At 36.9% G+C, this 21,366-nt stretch overlaps 1 protein-coding gene across 3 annotated transcripts in view, besides 1 other annotated feature; it reads right to left on the bottom strand.

Annotated features, from left to right (window-relative positions):
- The window catches only part of UNC80 (unc-80 subunit of NALCN channel complex), a 227,465-nt gene that overhangs the window by 111,780 nt on the left and 94,319 nt on the right, over nucleotides 1-21,366 (bottom strand). For all 3 annotated transcript variants that reach the window (NM_032504.2, NM_001371986.1, NM_182587.4), the window contains exons 23-25: nucleotides 14,547-14,759; nucleotides 9,428-9,563; nucleotides 6,423-6,556 (exon numbers count right to left, since the gene is read on the bottom strand). In NM_032504.2, coding sequence (NP_115893.1) covers nucleotides 6,423-6,556; nucleotides 9,428-9,563; nucleotides 14,547-14,759 — 483 coding nt within the window. The remainder of the gene's footprint in view (nucleotides 1-6,422; nucleotides 6,557-9,427; nucleotides 9,564-14,546; nucleotides 14,760-21,366) is intronic.
- Nucleotides 14,538-14,832: an enhancer, noted in NCBI's record as "tiled region #8902; HepG2 Activating non-DNase unmatched - State 3:PromF". NCBI's record gives its function as "activates a minimal TATA promoter and a strong SV40 promoter by Sharpr-MPRA in HepG2 cells {active_cell/tissue: HepG2}" and the evidence as "EXISTENCE:reporter gene assay evidence [ECO:0000049][PMID:27701403]".

Here is a 21,366-nt window from a genome sequence, read left to right as displayed (position 1 = left end):
TTTGTAGATGTGATTAAGGCTAAGGACCTTAAGATTGGGAGATTATTCTGGGCTAGCTAAATGGGCCCAATCACAAATCCTTAAAAGTGGAGAGCCTTTCCAGGCTGTAGTCAGAGGAAGCTGTGGCTATGAAAGAAAGATGAGAGAGATGCGATGTTTCTAGCTATAAAGATGGAGGGGCCGGGCTCGGTGGCTCACACCTGTAATCCCAGCACTTTGGGAGGCTGAGGCGGGCAGAACACCTGAAGTCGGCAGTTTGAGACCAGCCTGACCAACATCGAGAAAAAACCCCGTCTATACTAAAAATACAAAATTAGCCGGGCGAGGTGGCGCATGCCTGTAATCCTAGCTACTCAGGAGGCTGAGGCAGGAGAATTGCTTGAACCTGGGAGATGGAGGTTGTGGTGAGCTGAGATTGCACCATTGCACTCCAGCCTGGGCAACAAGAGGGAAACTCTGTCAAAAAATAAATAAAAAATAATAATAATAAAAAGACGAAGGAAAGGGCTATAAGCCAAGAAATGTGGGTGGCCTCTAGATGATGAATAAAGGGTGAGGAAACAGATTCTTCCCTAGAGCCCTAGGAATGGATGCAGCCTTGCCAATGCCTTGATTTTAGCCCAGCAATACCTGCCTTGGATTTCTGTCCTCCAGAACTGTGACATGTTTGTGCTGCTATAAACAGCTAAATTTCTGGTAGTTTGTCACAGCAGAAATATAAAATGAATAAAGAGTTGATGTTTGAGTTAAGTCTTGAGGATTAAGTAAAGATAGTTTGGCAAACAAGTGGGGAAAGGCAGTTCAGCCTTAAGAAACCTCATGCATGAAGGCCAGAGGCTCAAAGCAGTATCACACATTGGGGGAATTTCTTACTCCCTTCTAAGAGGATATAAGTATGACAGGAGTTCCATCACCATCTGAGGCTGAACACAATGATCTCATATAATAAAGTAAGCCTCGAGGAAAGTAATTACTTAATAGAAGTTTGGTCTCTGAGGCCCCAAATTGAGAATTTGACTTGTCCTGTGAATAGAGATTTGTTTATCCTAGAGATCATATTTATTCTTTTTTATTTTTAATTTTCTAATTTTTTAATTTTTTTGTAGATATGGGGTCTTGCTATGTTGTCCAGGCTAGTCTCAAACTCTGGACCTCAAGTGATCCTCCCACCTCAGCCTCCCAAAGTGTTGGGATTGCAGCCATGAGCCACTGTGCCTGGTCAAGATCATATGTAATTATTAACTTATAAAGCACTTTTGGAGTACCTAAAAATATATATAAAATTCTAATTTTATTTTTATACTGTATTTTTCTAATTATGACATAATAAACCCTTAGATTCAAATAAATATAAAAAATAAAAATATTTTGTAATTTTTTAAAAGATTTTTAAAAAGTTTGCACCAAGATTAAAATCTTATGCTTTTGATTCTCATCAATAAGATAAAATTTTAGGCTGGGCACAGTGGCTCACACCTGTAATCCCAGCAGTTTGAGAGGCCAAGGCAGGCCGATCACGAGGCCAGGAGTTTGAGACCAGCCTGGCCAATATGGTGAAACCCCGTCCCTACTAAAAATACAAAAATTAGGTGGGCGTGATGGCAGGTGCCTGTAGTCCCAGCTATGCAGGAGGTTGAGGCAGGAGAATCAGGAGAATCACTTAAAACTGGAAGGTGGAGGTTGCAGTGAGCCAAGATCACACCACTGCACTCCAGCCTGGGCAACAAGAGTGAAACTCCATCTCAAAAAAAAAAAAAAAAAAGTTAACATTTTAGACTCTACATTTTGTTTCTTGTCCTTTTGGCTTAAGAACAGAAGTTACATTTTGACTCAGAAAATTATATCACACCCAGAAAAATATAGGAACTACATGGAATCTATTTTACCATCATCAAGAATATTCTATAAATGTAAGTGCTTCCCTGAAATTAATCCCTTTGAGAAAAAAAAATAACCTAATCTACCTTCCACTGTGGTAGCCAAATCTAATGAGGGAAATTTCTTAGTTGGGATAAGAAGCAATCATATAATAATTCTGATTCACAAAAGTAGTTCTCCCTTCCAATTTCTTCTTTTATCTGCTTGTCCAAATCCTACGTAGTCTTTCAAAGCTATATTCAAATGTGCCCTCTTCCAAGAAGGTTCATCAGAGCTGTTCAGCCCCTTCTTTGGCTAGCCGTGGCTCTCTGCTACTTTCTCAGGGACCCTCTTACATTTTGCTTCAGAAAGTAATTTTTTGTATGTTGGTTCTCCTGTTACAGTATAGTTATTTCTGTATCACCTTCATCCCCACCCCTGCAACCATCACACCACCTTGCTCATACTTTATTCTCAATAAATATTCATTAGTTTTGTCTTGGTAGCTATGAATTGTATTTTGCTTCTGATTTTTTTAACTTTAGAAACCTTTGAAATCCAGTGTTTTTTTTTTCTTTTTTTAAAAAGAATTAATTTAATTTAATTTTAAGTTTCAGGATACATGTGCAGGGCGTGCAGGTTTGTTACATAGGCAAACGTGTGCCATGGTGGTCTGCTGCACCTGTCAACCCCTCACTGAAGTATTGAGCCCTGCATGCATTAGCTATTTATCCCGATGCTCTCCCAACCCCCACCCCCACACCACCAGACCCCAGTGTGTGTTGTTCCCCTCCCTGTTTCCATGTGTTCTCATTGTTCAGCTCCCACTTATAAGTGAGAACATGCGGTGTTTGGTTTTCTGTTCCTTCGTTAGTTTGCTGAGGATAATAGCTTCCAGATCCATCCATGTCCCTGCAAAGGAGATAATCTCATTCCTTTTTATGGCTGCATAGTATTCCATGGTGTATATGTACAACATTTTCTTTATCCAGTCTATTATTGATGGGTATTTGGGTTGATTCCATGTCTTTGCTACTGTGAATAGTGTTGCAATGAACATACACATGTATGTATCTTTATGATAAAATCATTTGTCTTTAACCCATCTTGAGTTAATTTTTGTATAAGGTGTAAGGAAAGGGTCCTATTTCAATTTTCTGCATATGGCTAAGCAAGTTTCAGCAGTATATTTTTTTATAACCTGATTTGTTAAATTCCGTTGGCATGGTTGGTACAGCCTCTAGCACAATATTGCACAAAAGGACCCAATATGCTGTTTTCTGTAACAAACGAATGTAGACATACAGAGACCTCCTTACCACCTTCCTCTTTATTATTATAGACTCATCTATGCATTTGATGGGAATTACTGTTTTCATTACATGTTGCTTAGTCATCATCGATTGGTCTCACTAATTCAACTGGGAAACATTTTAGTAGACCAGCAGTTTTATAAACAAAATTTTGTTTAAAAAATATTCCTTTGTTGTTCTCAAGTTTAGAAGATAATATTTAGAAAAAATTTGCTTATGCTGTTTTAGACTATAAATCTTATAAAAATGCTGCCCTTCCCTTTCTTTAGACATAATTTAATTGCACGGTTTACAAAATGCTACCAGAAGTTGTTTCTTTGTGGGGGAGGGGGGGAAGCACACTAATTAAGTTACATTTAAGGATCTATCTGGTGAAAAAATGTCATTTTGGCTGTATTTATGCTTACTCTGTGGATTTACTGTTCAGTGCCATTTCTTAAAAAACCATATAGCCTTAAAAAAGAAGGAAATTCTGACATATGTGACAACATGGATGAACTCTGAAGACATTATCCTAAGTGAAATAACACAGTCACAGAAAGACAAATACTGCATGATTCCACTTATATGAGTAAGTACGTAAAATAGTCAAATTTATAGAATCAAAGAGTGGGGGCCAGATGCTGTGGCTCACGCCTGTAATCCCAGCACTTTGGGAGGCCAAGGCAGGCGGATCATGAGGTCAGGAAATCAAGACCATCTTGGCTAACATGGTGAAACCCCATCTCTACTAAAAAAAATAAAAAAAATTAGCTGGGCATGGTGGTGGGCGTCTGTAGTCCCAGCTACTTGGGAGGCTGAGGCAGGAGAATGGTGTGAACCTGGGAGGCAGAGCTTGCAGTGAGCCGAGATTATACCACTGCACTCCAGCCTGGGCAACAGAGCAAGACTCCATCTCAAAAAAAAAAAAAAAAAAAAAAGAGTGGAATGGTGGTTGCCAGGGACTTGGTGGGAGGGCAAAATGGGGGAATTACTTAATAGAAAGGCATAAAATTTCAGTCAAGGAAGATGCTCCATAGATGTGCTGTTCAACATTATAGCTACAGTCAACAATAACATATTATACACTTAAAAATTCATCAAGAGGAGAAATCCAATGGTAGGTGCTCTTACCACAATTTAAAAATAGAAAACAATTGTAAGAATTTCTGTGTTGGTAAAACATTTCAATAAGTTAGAATGTGGCTTGAGTTTTCTTTACTACCAACTAGGGTTAGATAGCTGAAATGTGAGAAAAAGGTCCTTTCCCTCTTTATGTTATAAAGGCCACATCTCGACACAATACACAAACGTACACATTAACAATGAAAATCCTAGTGTAATGAATAAAAGATTTCAGAGGCCCAATTAAAGGTGACATAAAGTAAAAATTTTCCTCTTGCTAACTAACTGTAGGTTAGTCAAATTATATTAATCAAATTTAGAAGATTTGATTGATCTTTTAAAAATAAATTTGTTACAATAATAAGGACCATTAAACTCTAGTTTTATAGAATTGATAGGGAAAACAAAAATAACCTAGTCAAACTTTAGGATTCTTATTTTTTTTATTACAGTGGATCAAAATGGTGACCAATAACAATCTGAAAACTTAAAAGTAGATGTACTTTGTGCTTTTATGAAGACTTCAACATCATTAGAATGCTGATAGGGATAATACTGATAGAGGCCTATAGAAGTGCTGAGTGGTGGCCTTGATTTGATTTTACAGAGTAGTCTCAATATAATAGTGAAAGTGACAATTCAGAAAATTAAAGATTCAGGTTATTATGAAATTACATAAGGGCAGTAGAAGAAACTTCTCTTTTCAATATCCAAATGGTAGTGTCACAGTCCAAATGTGGGTGTTTCTCTTGAGAGCAGACAGTTTACTCATAAATATTTCTAACTTGAAAATATCCACTTTCTGTTCTAGAGTGTGAAGCAATGAATGGTCTTCCTAGAACTCCGGAAAACCAGAGGCAGAGGTGTCATGCAGTGACACCGGAACCCCCATTCTTTCACTCCTCTCCCCACACCGCCTGGCCTTGCTTGGGACACGGCCTTGCTCATGCCGAGTTTGGTTTAAAAAGGAGGAAACGTGGCCAGGCGCGGTGGCTCACACCTTAATCCTAGCACTTTGGGAGGCCAAGGCAGGCAGATCATGAGGTCAGGAGATCGAGACCATCCCGGCTAACATGGTGAAACCCCGTCTCTACTGAAAATACAAAAAATTAGCCAGGCATGGTGGCACGCGCCTGTAGTCCCAGCTACTCGGGAGGCTGTGGCAGGAGAATGGTGTGAACTGGGAAGGCAGAGCTTGCAGTGAGCAGAGATCGCGCCATTGCTCTCCAGCCTGGGCAACAGAGCAAGACTCCGTCTCAAAAAAAAAAAAAAAAAAAAGAAGGAGAGGTGGTGGATTGTGGATTGTAAAATTTGCTTAAATGGAAACACATAGATTGTTTATGTAACGATTGCTCTGGGAGATAGTCTGGTTCCTCAGCTCCAGCTGGATGATGCCTGTGATGAAAGAACCACTGGAAACTTGGTGCCCATTAGAGAACTAGGAGTGAAGGAAAATTGACTCCAAGGTGTGCCCCGTGCCACACACTCTGTGAACATGCCTGGTTCTTGCATAGTATTTATATTTATATCATTGGTTAAACAAATCAGGCCTTCATGGTATACCACACAGGAGTGTATATGCATGCACGCATGTGTGTGTGTGTGTGTGTGTGTGTGCATGCACACATGCATGGTCTTATTTCTGTCTATCCATAATCTCTAGGAAATGCTACAGAAATAACAATGTACGTTTGGGGATTTTAGACACTAAATACTGGAGTACTTTCAACCATAATTTGAAAGAGAACACTCATTAAGAAGCAAATTTCTATACAGATTTATGAGCAGTTGGTATAAAAAAATTTGTTGGTGAGTTCTGGAAAACATTAGCCATAAAACTCCTCATATTTTCAGAGTAAAGGAAGCTAAAGGCTCCTAGATATTCCCAGCATAATTGATAGTGATCAAATAAACATTGTATCCAGTAGGAAAACCTTCACTGATTTCTAGATTGACTTTGGAGTTATTATTATTTGTAATGAGGAAAAGAGCATTTCTTTTTATGTTTCAAAATCCCTTGGTTGAATTTTTAAAATTATGTGATACACTAGCCATGGAACATTTAAGAAAACTGTGAATCTTGGAAACCCAGACACACGCCTGGCCTCTCCGAGTAACCTGATTATTAACTTGCATGCTTTAACTTACCACCAGAGGCTCAGTGCGAGGTCTGGGCAGGCAAGAAAAGGTCTCTCGCAGGAAGGTGGTAATCTCCAGAAGAAGCTGACATGCTGCCATCTTCAAGGCAAAGGGGCAACCGCATTTAGAGGGGTTCACAGTACCTAGGAAATGAAAGTGTTCTTTCATAAGGAGACAAATCAACAAAAAATACAGAAATGCATAGTTTGATGGACATAGCTACACATGTATAGAATCAAATTGCATATGAGAATGTTACCTATATATGTCCAACATCCAATTACATATGAGGACTTCATCTATATCTATGTAAGTTCAATTTACCTATTCCTTTAGCATGACTTATGCACTAACATAAGCATCTCTCTCCCTCCATTTTGCAAATTCTACAGAGTGCTTCAGTATTAAAATATTGAACAAGCAGAACTAAATTATTTTCCTTAAAGCATCATAGAGTAACAAAATGCAGCTCCAACTAGACTAGAATACCTTTTAACGAAAACAGAAATGGGAAGTAATTTCGCAAGATTTCTACGCTGCTATTCAATCAGATTTAGACTATGTATATGGCAGTGAACTAGATTTGGAGCTATAAAAATTCTGTCAGTTCATTTTATGAGGGATGTCTGTCTTGCTGTTTTGAGGGCAGTGAAGTTGTTTCAGCTCTAGTCCAAATGTGTTTCTGCAACACAGACAAGACATACTTACTGGATCACATATATCATACAGTTTGTGCAAGCTAGCCTGTCAAATTAAGGCATAGCTATACTAGAAATGTACAAATATTCTCTTTTGCTCTGCAGAATATTGACCTTTGAATTAATAAAGCATTGTATCCACTAGAAGCCAGCTAATAGATTTTGCTCTAAAGACAGATAATGGCCATGGTAACACCATAGTGATTTTTTTAATTCTCAGAATTAGTTCTCAGATATGTGTCATCACAACTGATGACACAGGATGATGTAGAAATATATTATTTACGTGTTCAGAAAAAATCAAAGCCATGTAGAATTCTTTCTCTTATAAAAGAAAGGAAATGGTTATCCATTTTAAATGAATCAAGTCATCAAGCAATCACAATATCATTACATATGAACAGTCCTAAAAATATCTCTAAAATGTTTCCTGGGTGTTAGGCTTTCTTAATTGAATAGAATACATACTTCACGATTTCATTTGAAAATAGGTGGAAATTACGGTCTTTCTGTAGATATTTAAGCTATCGTTTTTTTCAGGAAAACCATTTTCTCTCCTGAGTTAATTTGTTGCCGGGGACTTTGCCTCTCATCAAGAATGGAAAAGACAAGCTTCTGTAGAATTTCCAGCCCGAAAGTTGCTTGCACCATAATCAGCTTTTAAATGCAAGATGAGCTGTGTATTGACTTGAAAGTGGAACTAAAAATCAGACATATCAATCTTATATGTGTCTTATAGGGGCTATTTGACTAAATATTGTGTGGATATGCAACACTTTTTAAAAAATAATTGAACACTAGACATTCAGTATAGACTTTTGGGTCTGCCGTTTCACTCCTAAGGTTATCATCCAGGCTTTTCTTACCAGTCCTGCAGACAATGAGCTTAGTCTTAGTCTAGGCTCTTTCAGGGCTATCATATTAAATATCCTGTTATAATAAACAAGGATTGAGTTCTACCTAGTCTCAACAAAAAACTAATATTCTAGGCAGAACATATTGGTAAATGACACTTATGCAGTCTAATGGAGATTCAAGTTGTTTTGGCCTAGGAGGATGCACGCATTTAATGTTGCTTCAACTTCTCTCTGTTCTGAAGGGCCCCTGGAAGTTCCAGGATGGCTTAGAATGCCTTCTGGCTAGATGGGTCTTATGGTGGGCCTTCCCTAGGTTCCGTGATTGTTGGATAAACCTCATTCTAAGATAGTCTAGGCTACTTTAGATATCTTTGGGGCCAACCTTCATTATTAGGTTGAAAGACTGACATAATAATTTGGTGTTTTGTCAATGGCTACGTCAAGAAGATTTGCTCTGATTTGATAAGGTCTTAGAAGGGGTAACATGATTTAAAAATGCAAAAAAAAAAAAACTTTGGAAGGAACGTGGAAAGGAAGATCATAAGAGTTTTCTTTGATTCTTATTTAGTCCTGCCTAATGTTACGCCCCATCCATTCTTTTACATTTCATGACTGCAACAATGCAGTAGGTCTGAATCATCTAATGAAGGACAACTCTTAACATGTAGTCAGGGAGCTTGAATTTCAAACCACAGGGGAAGGTCAGGAGGAAGAGATCTCACTATGTTCATCATATAAAGATACGAATTCCATAACTATAACTGGAATTTTGTATTCCATAAAAGGCAGTGGTACATATACACAAAAGCTTGTATGGTATAGAACACACGTATGCACAAAATGATGTTGAAGAAGGATGTAATAGGAATCTTTTTGTCTCTACTTTTCTATGATGAAATTCTATTATAAATTTAATAAATAGGTACAGTACAGCAGACATTCACAGTTCTAGCAACCTCTGAATATTTTAATATTTAAGTGTCATGTTAAATACTATAATATACTCTGTTTAAAATTTTCAATATTTTAGTGATTTGGAAAATATTTCACATTCAATTTTATTTGGTCTGATTTTGTTTCCTGGAGCAATATAAAAAACACAAAACCTGACAAAATCTCTTCTAGGACAGTAAATTTTCCACAACTATAGTGCCTCAGAGATATTTTCTCAGAGAAGTCTAATACCAATATTTGTTTTGTCAAAGACAAGAAAAGAATAAATGTTCCATCTTGCCTGCAGCTCCTTGCCCCTCTCTGTCTTCTCTTTCTGGTTCTTGCCTTGTCTCTGTGTGGCTTTATGCACATGCTTTACACCCATGCACAGGGAAAAGGGGAGAAGGAGCAGTGGAAAGACATGGGGAGGTGGTAAGAATATGAAGGAGAAAAGAGAAGTATTAAGTGCTCCTAAAGCAGAGGTTCTTACAAGCAGGGGTTCTTGTAGTAAAGGGAGTCTCCTTACTGTCATCTAAAAAGTCTTCCTCCTCATCCTCCTTTCTAAGTCTCCTCTTGGTCTCTTCATCGTAAATGAGACCCAGCAGGTTGGCTGGGCTCTCACTTTCCCCGTGGCACAGCTCATTCAATCGGACGCCAATTGCCTAAAATGGGAAGGAAAACAATGAAACAGCACAAACTAAGTCAAACTCTAAAATAGGCTCTCACATTACATCAGACATAAGCAACCAATTAATGAGAATTATTTCCAGCATAAGCCTCTTCTGTATGCCACAGTGTTGTTTCCACCATATTTGCCAGTATGGAAACCAGAAATGGAAGAAACAGCTATCCCCAAGGTCATTCAGTCTAAAGACTTGTAAAAACTGGAATGACACCTTTGTATATTTGTACAAAAGTTTTTCTGAAAATATTTCCATTTACTCAAAGGTTATTTATTTTATAGATATGATACAAGGGAGTACACAATTGCTTTTAATGGAGGATTTTGTTGCAGTAAAACATCAGAAGGCACAGTTCCTCAGAGTGCTTCTGATTATGCTATTTTTAATGAGAATGTCACTGTCATGCTAATGAGTTTAGAAGTTGGCAAGAATTCTGTTGCTGCAATTTTTTTCTATCTGTCATTATATATGTACTTATTGGCTTCTTTTATAGACCTTTTTCCTCTTTCCATAATACTCTATGAATTAGTAAGAAATGCTAACTTTTCTTTTGGTAGAGTGCCCAACAACATTAGAAATATGAGTTTTAATAACTCAGCACGTGGATAATATTGGTTTTTACACGGTATTCTTAGAACTAACATCCTTGCTATCTGTTATTGAATCATCAGGCACTATTGTCTGGTTTATCAAAGGAATTTGCCACAAGAAGAGACAAAAAACACTATCTCTATCTAATTCATTTTATTTCCAATTATATACTGCATGCAACAATAGAAGAGACACAGGCTCAGGAGTGAGAGAGAAAAAGTTAAACAGATCACTGAACTTGGGGTTTGACAGTTTGGATACTCTGTGTTTAAGTAAGAGCAAAATTCCAGCTAAGTTTCTTCTTTCTTTCTGTATCATACTTTGCAAATATTTAGAAAAGTTACTAAATTCTCAGCAAGTAAGAAAATATACTTACTACTGAAAACCAACATGCTCAAGCTCTCTAAGTGAAGATTATGCTCATACTCTTTAAATGAAAAGACATTTTTGAGTGTCTTAGATATCTGGAAACCGAAAGGTCTCCCTAAACTCTGGAATTAAGTGAGGAGCTAAAAACCAGGAAGCAAAAACTATACCAAGGAGAATGCAGTATGTGGGATTCTAAAATTTTAGCTGCTAACCGGGTAAGTTTTAAGCAAATGATACAAATCGTAAAAACAAAACCACCACCACAACAAAAAGACTTATCTTGGTGCTGCTATTTTGGAGATCCTCTGTTAAGGAGGTGACATACAATTATGAGTCTGGAATGGAGCCAACAAACTAAATAGTGAGACTCAAAAGGGAAAAATATCTACATTGACCATTCCAGGATGTTGTAACTAAGCAACTTAAATTAAGTCCACAGTTTATAAAGCTTAAAGGGCTGCTCAAAAAATGAACTTGTCTGGTGTAATACTATATGTCTAAATAATAATTTAGATCTCTATGTCTCACCCAAAGCTAGAAAAATGCCTCAGGGCTATGTTTATTCGTCTCTTCCTTCATTCATCAAATATTTATTAAGTGAGGTAATTTGTTAGGTTTTAAATAGAACATAAAGTTGAGTAAGTTGTTATAGTACACTAGTACCTTTGTTTAATGTGCCTTGGTAGATTATAAGCCCACATAAGAAAGATTACTGTTTGGCAAATAGGAAGTTTAGAGGGGCTAGGAGGTTTGCCCAAGGTTGCTCAGCAGGATTCAAACATAGGATGTCTGACTGTCTATGTCTGTGTTCTTCCTCTCAACGAGCTTACAGTCTATTGAGGGATGTAATAACATAACGAAACAACTCATTAACTGGCTAAAGAGACTAGAAACACTTTATTAGCTCATAAGATAGATTAAATTCAGCTCAGAGAGGGAGAGGGTCGGGGAGCTGTGGGACTGGAAAACTACATTTTGGGTACAACGTGCCCTACTCGGATGATGGATGCATTAAAATCTCAGAATTCACTGCTATAAAATTAATTCATCTATGTGGTCAAAAACTGCTTGTACCCCAAAAGCCACTGAAATAAAAAAATAAAGAAATAAAGAGAAAATTTAGTTCAGAGGATCACAGAAAATCTCACAGAAGGTCTCAAAGTTTGTAGACTTTGACAAATTGGTGTTTTGACTGATGGAGAATGGGGAGAGCAGACATTCGAGGGGACGGTCCTGAAAGATTTATGTTCATGGAAATGCACTATGTGCTGAGAGACTGACAGAGGGGCCACATAATTGAAGTTCAATTTTGTGAGAGGAAATAATGTACAGGAAGGCTGAAAAGGTAGATTTGGATCAGATCCTACAGTTCTTGAAGTTGAACTTCATTTCACATTCTTGAGAAGGATGAAAGGTAGTTTCTGAGTGGGAGAAGTAACCTGATCACTTATGCCAGGGATGTTGTACTAGCTACCCAGGAATGCTGAGACAAGCATGGACTCTGCTTTCAAAAATTCATGTCAGAACTGATTATTATTGAACATACATTAGGAGGAAAGTATTTAAATACATATTCTTTAGGTACATTAGCTCATTTCAGTTCATCACTCATAATCTTGGAATGGTCTGAGCAAAGGTCGTGGAGAGGGCAGTGATGGCAGGCTAAGCAGTTTGGGTTTTATCCTGAGGGAAAAGGAGGGCCACTGAAAGCATTTTAAGTGGATAAGAAACACACTCTAATTTGCATTGTAGCCTAATCACTCTGAGAGCAGTTTGGAGAATGAATTAGAGGGTGCAAGTCTGGAGGCTGGGAGATGAGGATGAATGTCATATCTTGGGTGGGCTGGGCTGTAGGAAGATCTTTTCACTGACAGTGTGTAGGATGCATTAAATGAGAGGAGACTGTGAGGAGAAGACCAAATAGGAAAAAAGTTTAATCATCGAGATGAGAAGTCATGGGGATCTGGCCTAAGGGGCTTCAGTGACATGAAAGAGGTGGGATCAATAGGGGAGGAGATTGGGATATGCTCAAAGGTTGGCATCTCAGATGACGGTGGTATCAATAAGAATAGAAAGCTCAGAAGGGTTGTAGGTGGCAATGTGTTTACTTGAGGAGAAGGGTTTTATTTTGGAAGATTGAGTTCTAGGATATTAAATGAATGTTTCCAAAGTGCAGCTGGCAATGTAGGTCTGGGATCTGAAAACTGCTATGGTTAGGGAAGTCTGTACTTACAGGTTACAGTTGGAAATATAAGAATAAATGTAACCCTGAAGTAAGTTATATTGGAAGAAATTAAGAGAGATCCTGGAGAATATCTGTTTATGACGAGGGAGGAGACAGAGGACCAGGAAAGGAGACAGAGAATTAGGCACAGAGGTGCAAGGAAACTCTGAAGCATGATGGTTTCAAAAAGACAAAGGACAAAAGACAGAGGTATGTGCAGTTGGCAGTGTCAAATGCTGCAAGAAAGTCAGAAGACTCTTGGCCTGAAAACACTTGTTTGTGAAATCTCTTGGTGACAATCTCCCTATAAACCTGAAACTCTCAAATGTGTAGCACTTAATGGTTTTCCTCTCCTGTAGGAAGCCAATGGGATTATCAATTGTGACTGTTGTTTCAGAGAAGCCTCTCAATAAGACCTTCCTTGAATGAGACAGGTAATAAATGGGGGGTTGGAACATCTCTCCACATTAAAGAGATTACTGGTGCCTCTATGTATCTCATGATATGCATTTCATTGACACTGCTTGACTTGTATAAACCTTCATAAGGTTAAAACCGAATATAATTAAATGAAGGATAAGTACAATGGAATCACATAATAACTTATCTCAACGATTTACAAAAATAGATATTACATAGGAGAAACTGTGTCTTCTCATATATAATGTGCAATCGAAGCCTGAAAAGGGCAGTGCTAAGTGTTGATCATTGACATTAGCATTAATAAAGTGTTCTACTCCAACATATCATACACACACACACACACACACATACATACGTGTATCTTTTTAAACAGGATGTTTTTATATAGGAAAGAAAATCCAAAGAACAGCAAATAAAGAAGGAAAGACTGATACAGAAAGACTGCACACATACTAAATACAATTCATGCCTTTTGAATAACTTTGGCACTTTGCAAAAAAGATATGGGTAAAACTGGAGGAAGAATACCTTAGTTGGTAAGCACATTGGTAGACACATTCAGCTGAATTATTAACGGAAATTGTAACAGTTATTCCAAGTAATCTTTAAGAAAAGAGGAATATATGGAACCTCTTTATGTGTGTTTATGTTCAGCTCTGTCTAAAATTAGCAGAAACTTGGTCCTCTTGAATTTCCTTTTATTCTTCACCTTTTTTCCTTCTATGGTAAAGAAGTTGTAGTTATTTTAAGGGTCCATTTTGTTAGAATTCCTAAAGAAGTTTCATTCATTCACTTTTAAATTTATTCACTTACTCATATGCATACATAAATATGTGTTTATGTGAGTGCAATTTCCAAAGGCTTTCAGGCAACTTAAAGGAGGCACATCAACAAAAGAGAAAATTTCACTAAGAAATTAGAAAAAATCATGCCTTACAAAATATAAATTAGAATAGAAACTGAAATAAGGGTGTATTTTACAATTATAACAATGACTTTCAAAAAGATAATTCTTGATGAATATAGCAATTAGAAGCAAGGCTTTGAAATCTAATCTGTGAGATGGAATAGTGGTTCCTCTACTTACTATTAATAGATATGTAAAATTTGGTAGGTCGCTTGACCTGTATAAACTTCAGTTCTCTTAACTGTAAAACAGAGATAGTAATGTCTAACCTCATAGATTTATTGGGACGATTAAATGAGTTGCTTATTTTTTCCCAAAGTGTTTCCTTCAGTACCTGGTACATAACAAACACTCAATAAATTGTCTTCAAAACAAACACAATCAATCAAAAAATGACTCCACTTCACTTAAGCAACCTAATTGTTATAGAAGAAAACCGAAAGCTCACGTCTCCCCATTGGTAGAAGAGCTTGGCTGCATTCCACTGCAGCTTCTGGTTTCGCTTGTTGCCCACAATGGGAGAGCGTCCCCGGGAAAGTCCTTTCTTGGTGATGTTCACGTGGTGCCCTTTCATCCACTCTGGCCAGTTGCCACGGTTGCAGCGGTGAACAAAACGAGCACATTCCAGGAACAAGGCTGCTCTGGCCACCACAGGGGCTTCCTGTGTAGGGTTGTTTAGGAAAGAATAATGTGGGATTAATGAACAATAACTTTAAATTGGTCTTAAAGGGAATTACTGTGTATTTTTAGTTTATTTTCCTCTTCATGTTTTGATTTATATTGGCCATATTTCCCAGGGTGGTGTCAGTATGGCCAACACAGTAGTGAGAAATCTGGAAAGCAAAATCCCCCCCAAAAATGTGGATCTTGAAGGATTAGACATTTTAGGTAGGTTTCTGTGTTGCTTTCTCCTTCTTCTCAAGAATCTCAAGTAATTACATGTCTCCAACTTTGTATATTTAAGGGTGACAGCGATTTGAGTGTAGAGTGAAAGAGCTTTTAGTGAGGTCTTAAAGATGAATCTTTTTTTGAACCCTAAATTTTACATGAAGCAAACAAATATTCCATTTCTAGAACCAGTCTTATTTTAACCAAGAGCGTCAGAAGTAATTTTGTACCAGCAATAGTCTTTTGTCTATAACCATCCATATGTTCCAAAGAGGTAAAATTGGTTCTGCACATTTTGGCTATTAAAAAAAGAAGTTCAAGACCAGCCTGGCCAACATGATGAAACTTCATCTCCACTAAAAATACAAAAAATTAGTCAGGCATGGTGGAGCGTGCTTGTAGTCCCAGCTACTCAGGAGGCTGAGGCTTGAACCTGGGAGGTGTAAGTTGCAGTTAGCTGAGATCGCGCCACTGCACTCCAGCCTGGGAGACAGAGTGAGACTCCACCTCAAAAAAGAAAAGGAAGCTCAATCTTGCTGAGTTAGTCTTTTTTTTTTTATTTTGTCATAAATAACTGACTGGATTATACTTAAATAGGCATGGTTTTAATTGAAAATGTTTGATAAAGAGGAGATTAATTGATAAATGATAGAGCATTTCTTCAGAAAGACATGGCTCCACCTTGTCATGTCAAAATGTGCTTGAAAAAAAAAAAAGAAAAAAGAAGAAACATCTTTTAGCTGATATCCAGAATCTGGTAAGAATCAAATACTCTACTGAAATCTTTGAAAGATTTTTTAAAAAAAGTTAAGGAAAGAAGTAATGAGAAGTTTTCCATAGAAGGTCAATAGATCATAAGAAAATATATATCAACTATTCATGTGTATTTTGACTTGTGTCAGTTTTTTAAAAAATACATCACAATATTATTTATCATTTTAGGGTTACTAATAACCATAGGTTACTCAGTAACCACAGATTTTCAAATTGAAATAATTTTTAATAATGGTAAGCAGTAGTATTCTTAACAATGTATCAATCCATAAAGTTAAAATAGAGGCTAACATAGACTGTCAATTACATGTCAGTTAACTTTTAGAATTATAATATATAACATCCCTGTGATCTATAAATAATGTCCCCCATTTAAGATTTTTTAAAATGAGGTATAATTTTTCACTATCATATAGCATGAAAGGGGTGAATATAGGAACATAAAATTCAACCCAGGTCTCATTGATGCTGGTCCTATGCTAGTTTCTCTTTGGCATTTACATTGTCTTAATTTATACTCCCATAAATCTTAGTAAAAGATAATTTGTAGAGTGCAAGTAGAAATTAACTATTAATACTTAAAGTGGGATATTAGTCCCATGTACTATTGTTTTCTAAAACATAAATATATAAACATATCATTTCCCCATTTGATATCTATTATAGCCTCCATCCACCTCAACCATAAAACAAATAAAGATATCCAAGCTTTGTGATTTGGGTCATCTCCTTTTCTATGCCCATCTCAAGTGCTTTATGGTCCAATTATGTCAACTTAGTTGCTATCTCCCAAATATGACATCTTCTGCCATTCCACATGTTGTCTCACGGCTTGCAGAGCCTTGAAACTCCTTTTCTATCCAGAAAATTCCCATTTTTAAGATTCAGGATTCAGTTAGTTACCTCCTCTGAGAACCCTTCTTAAATCCCTTCCCTGGACAGGCAGAGCTGGTTACTTTACATTTTTGGGTACCAAAGTATCCCAAACACACTGGATGATTCAAGTAAGTTAGTTCCTTAAGCCTTTCTTCATTGTATATGTCTTAAATGCAGCCATCAAAAATTACAATGAAAATATATTTATGTAGGTACTTAATTTTACAAAGAATATTATGTATTACCACAACATGAAAAATTAACCTATGTGAAAGACAGAATGCAAGATGAACACTAATAGTGAGTATCTATCCTTAACAAAAGGTGGATACTAATGATGAGAATCTATCTCATCAATGCATGGGGTCAAGACTAGGAAGCAGGTCACAGGGATAGAAAAACTTGAGATTGCAAGGAGTCAGATGATCTTCTGCATTAAACCCAGCAGTATTGCAGTGCCATGCCATATAGACTAAATATCTACATTCTTTCTTGTATTAAGTATTCATTTCACTAAACAGTTCAGATATGCAAATCTGTGTCTGGTAAAGGTTGGAACGTTTGTCTCTAAAACAGAATGTCAGTTTAGAGGTCAGGCAAGTGATGCAAATTTATTCTTAGCCTGTCACAATATGACACATTGCCAATATAAAGCAATGTGGATTCAAAGCTTAATGACAGAAAGACATAGGTAACACTGCTGAAATAGCATTATATTGTGAACCCTGGCTCCTTCAGGATTAACAAGGTTGAAACTTAACGTGGACCATATGTATGGGGTAGAGGATCATTTTATTGCCTCTAAGTGTTAGATGGCAACTGAGAGGATTAACAATAGATGAATGAACAATCTAAATAGTGATATGTAAGGCTTCTTATATGGATTAGCTTGCCTTCTTTAGATACAAGAATTCTTAAAAATATATTGCTGAAAAATTACTTTAGTTGCTTAAGAAGCCCAAGGCATTTTTGAATCAAAACCAATTTCAATTCTCCTGTGCTCAAAAACTTCTCAGGATAAAACTGAGATATTATCAGTTACAGGCTGTGGGAAATTCTAATCCAAGTTTGGAAATGCAATTGAGATCAATATGAAAATAATTCTCATTAACTATATGGTAAAACATAAGGGGGAGGTTGGTAATTATCTGATGAATTTTATGCATGTAAATAGCCAAACCCATTCATGTTTGGAAATGTCACTGTTTCCATCAAGGATGATGACATAGAGTCACTCAAATATTGCCTTTTTATTATAATCATTATTAGCCTGGTGGATGATGGCAGGCTTAGAAATTCTATATTTAAGATGGCAGTAAATAATACCAATTTCTGGGGTATTTTAGTATATATATTACTATACTGAAAATTGAGGGTGATGCTAAGGTACAAATCTACGGGCAATAATGTCCAAGATCATTAGTAAGCAACAGCTAATTAAGTTTGCTGAGTTTGCAATGTGTGTGCAACAGCATTCAAGGAATTCTGGTGTGAGTGTGGCTATGAGGAATTGTTTTCATTCAGTTCCTTTTAAAAGGTAGTTTAGAGAGTATTGATTTCAGGGGCAGGGTTATGGAATACCTTGGACAAAGGATTCTTCCTGAGCATAAAGGAAAGTCAATTTTCCCTCTTTTGATGGAGCTTACCTCTTATGGCTCAGTGCAATCTGAAGAAGCAGCAAAAGATGGAGGCATGACATAATGGATAGGGATGGATTCACATCACAGAGAAAAACAGCACAAATGGAGAAAAATGAATCAGAAGAATGCCGCATAGCTGAAAAGAACCACAGAGTATCAGAGGCACAGTTACAGGTGAACATCTAAACAAAATTTGACACCACTGGCATACCACAGAGAATTTGCTGGTGGTCCTAAAAGAAAAGTAGGCATATTTAAATTTCTTCTTTCTTATTAACATGTCTGCCCAGATCCCTTTTTATGCTCCATAATGTCACAGAGAGGCTTCTATTCCATTATATTATAACTTCGTAGTTTCCAGACAAGCAAGAATCGATTTTAACTGGGAAGGCAAAATATTAGATTGAACCTATGAAATTTCTAAATTCGAAGGTCAAAAATAGTCGTATCAGCAATTTCATATAGTTCAATCTTGTATGAGGTGTTCTCTGCATGGGTTACAGGGTTGTCCAGTTGAAACTACAAAAAGTCTAATGAATGTCATTGCACAGCATGGGAGTCTCTTACAGTCTACAGGTAGAAAACATCAGGAGTCTGGCTACTTTCCTTGACTTCTTTGCCATTTTTTCCTTGAATTTTATAAGATCATTATGTATATTGAATACTTCCTTTATGAAAGTGAGGCAGAGAATTGAGATACTAATTTCGATAGCTGTGCTTTATTTTGCCTGGGGACCTAAAAAATATTGTTGCCAAGATATGATGGTTAATTGAAGCTTATAATTGCAATGCCTTCCTTTCCCTGGAGGACTATATCTAAGCTTACAATGTGCGAAGAAATCTTGACTGATCCTGAAAACTCATATAACACTAGATAGAAACTAACTGTTTTTAAAGACTAAATATTTTATGTGGGCCCCTAGGGAATTACATATTTTTTATTGCCTTACAAAATAAAATATAAAGCTGTTGCTGGTGCAGGATACCTGTTTATCTACAACCAATGGAAATAAGCAGTTATTTGGGGTCTTAGTAGGCATTCCAAAGTTCTTTGCTAGGGGGCATATACTTCTGAGTCAGTATTTATTACTTAGCTGTATTGAATTCTCTGCCAGACTGAGATCAATAAATAACTGACTCACTAGCTAACAGGCTGCCTCCATCCCTGCCTATTTCTACAGTAGCTGTGGGTAGGCTGAAGACCAACATTACAGGTTAGCACATGGTCTGGAAGGCTAGTCATTTTAGCACTTACTCAGATCATGCTAATATTTTGGGTATTTTAAAAACCAAATGAGGACTTCTGTTTCTGACAATATGATCAAGTAAGAGTGAAGAATTCATTTGATTTAGAACACCTGAAATGGTGGGTAAAATATCCAAAAATGTCTATTTTTATTTTGCTTTTGTTTCTAAAGTGAGATCGAAGACAACTGGAGAGTAGAAATTACAAGAAAGTGCAATTCTGAGGGTGGGGGTAGGGATAAACTAGATAGAAATATTTGTCCTGAAGGTTTCTGCTGACTATAGAGAGACCGGATGGGTTTCCAATGGGCCACAAGTTAAAAGTTGGCACAAGTGGGTCGGTGGTCAGGACATGTACTCCTCTGACATAAAGCCAGGATCTCAGGAAGGAGCCACCCTCAGTGGATGAATAAGAAAAAATCTGCCCCAAAGAAGTTGGTTTGCCTGACAAGGTTTGGCTCTGGGTAGGACAGAGGGGGAGAAACAAAAGGAAAAAGTCTTTTACGAGAATGCTTAACAAAATCCCACATTCTCATACAAGTTTGGAGCACCGAGAATGGGCTAATTCCATGCCCCCCAGCCCCCAAAAATAATTTTTAAAATGTTCTTAGATTGATAATGTTTCCAGGTGTCTGACAAAATAAATGGAAATTCTCTCTGGAGAAATACTTCAAACCAGCACTTCTCAAACCTTCATATTTGAGCCTAGGCGTCACTTAGGAAGATGGATAAAATAAATTCCTTAGCTCCATCCCCAGATATTCTGATTCAGTAGATCCATTGTAGGGCCTGGAAATTTGCATTTCTCACATGCTCACAAGTGATGCTGATGTTGCTGGTCCACTGAAAAACACTACTTCTAACACAGGTCTTAAATAATTCCTACAGATAAAGTGCCAAGGAATGAGCTACATTATATTTCAAAATAACTAGAAGAGAAGATTTGGAACATTCCCAACACAAATAAATGATAAATGTTTGAGGTGTTGGATATTCCAGTTATCCTGATTTAATCATTACACATTGTATACATATATCAAAATATCACAAGTATTCCATAAATGTGCACAACTATTATGTGTCAATAAAAAGTACAACATAAAATAATCCACTGTGAACAAGAGTCAGAAGAAATAAAGTACAGAATGAAGTTCACAAAGACTACAGCGATTGGAATCGTAGTGTATCAAACACATTTAAAGATAAATGTGAGTATCGAAAGTATGATGAAGGAATTAGATGATGAAAGTTGATTAGGAAATTTTAAAACAAAATTTAAATAGAATTTTTACAAATAAAAATGTAGTACTTGAAACTTAAAACTCAATGGATAGACTAAAACACAGTTAAAACTCAATGGATAGACTAAAACACAGGTTATATCAGGTTTTTCCAACTGCAATACTATTGACTATTTGGGTCAGATGATTCTCTCTCTCTCTCTCTCTCTCTCTCTCTCTCTGTGTGTGTGTGTGTGTGTGTGTGTGTGTGTGTGTGTGTGTGTGGGGGTGCATTTTGTATTATGGAATGTTTATCAGCATCTTTGGTATTTACCCAATCCCCAAGTTGTGACAACTGAAAATTCCTCCAGACATTGTCAAATGTTCCCTGATGGGCAAAACTGCCCCTTGTTGAGAACCAAGGGATCAGACACAGTTGAAAAGAGAAAAGGTGAAGTGGAAAATATATCTGATAAAATTATCCAGAGTTTAGCATAGAGACAAAGAGATGAAAAATATGAAAGAGAGGTTATCAAAAACAGAAAATAAAATGAAAAGATCTATCTTATATATTTTCAATTTACAGAAGGAAAGATTAAAGAAAATGTGAACGACACAATATTGA

The sequence above is a fragment of the Homo sapiens genome, chromosome 2 (assembly GCF_000001405.40).
Source record: "Homo sapiens chromosome 2, GRCh38.p14 Primary Assembly".
NCBI classification, from domain to species: domain Eukaryota; kingdom Metazoa; phylum Chordata; class Mammalia; order Primates; family Hominidae; genus Homo; species Homo sapiens.
The sequence above is the reverse complement of the archived record's forward strand: the minus strand, read 5'-3'. Positions and strand labels throughout refer to the sequence as shown.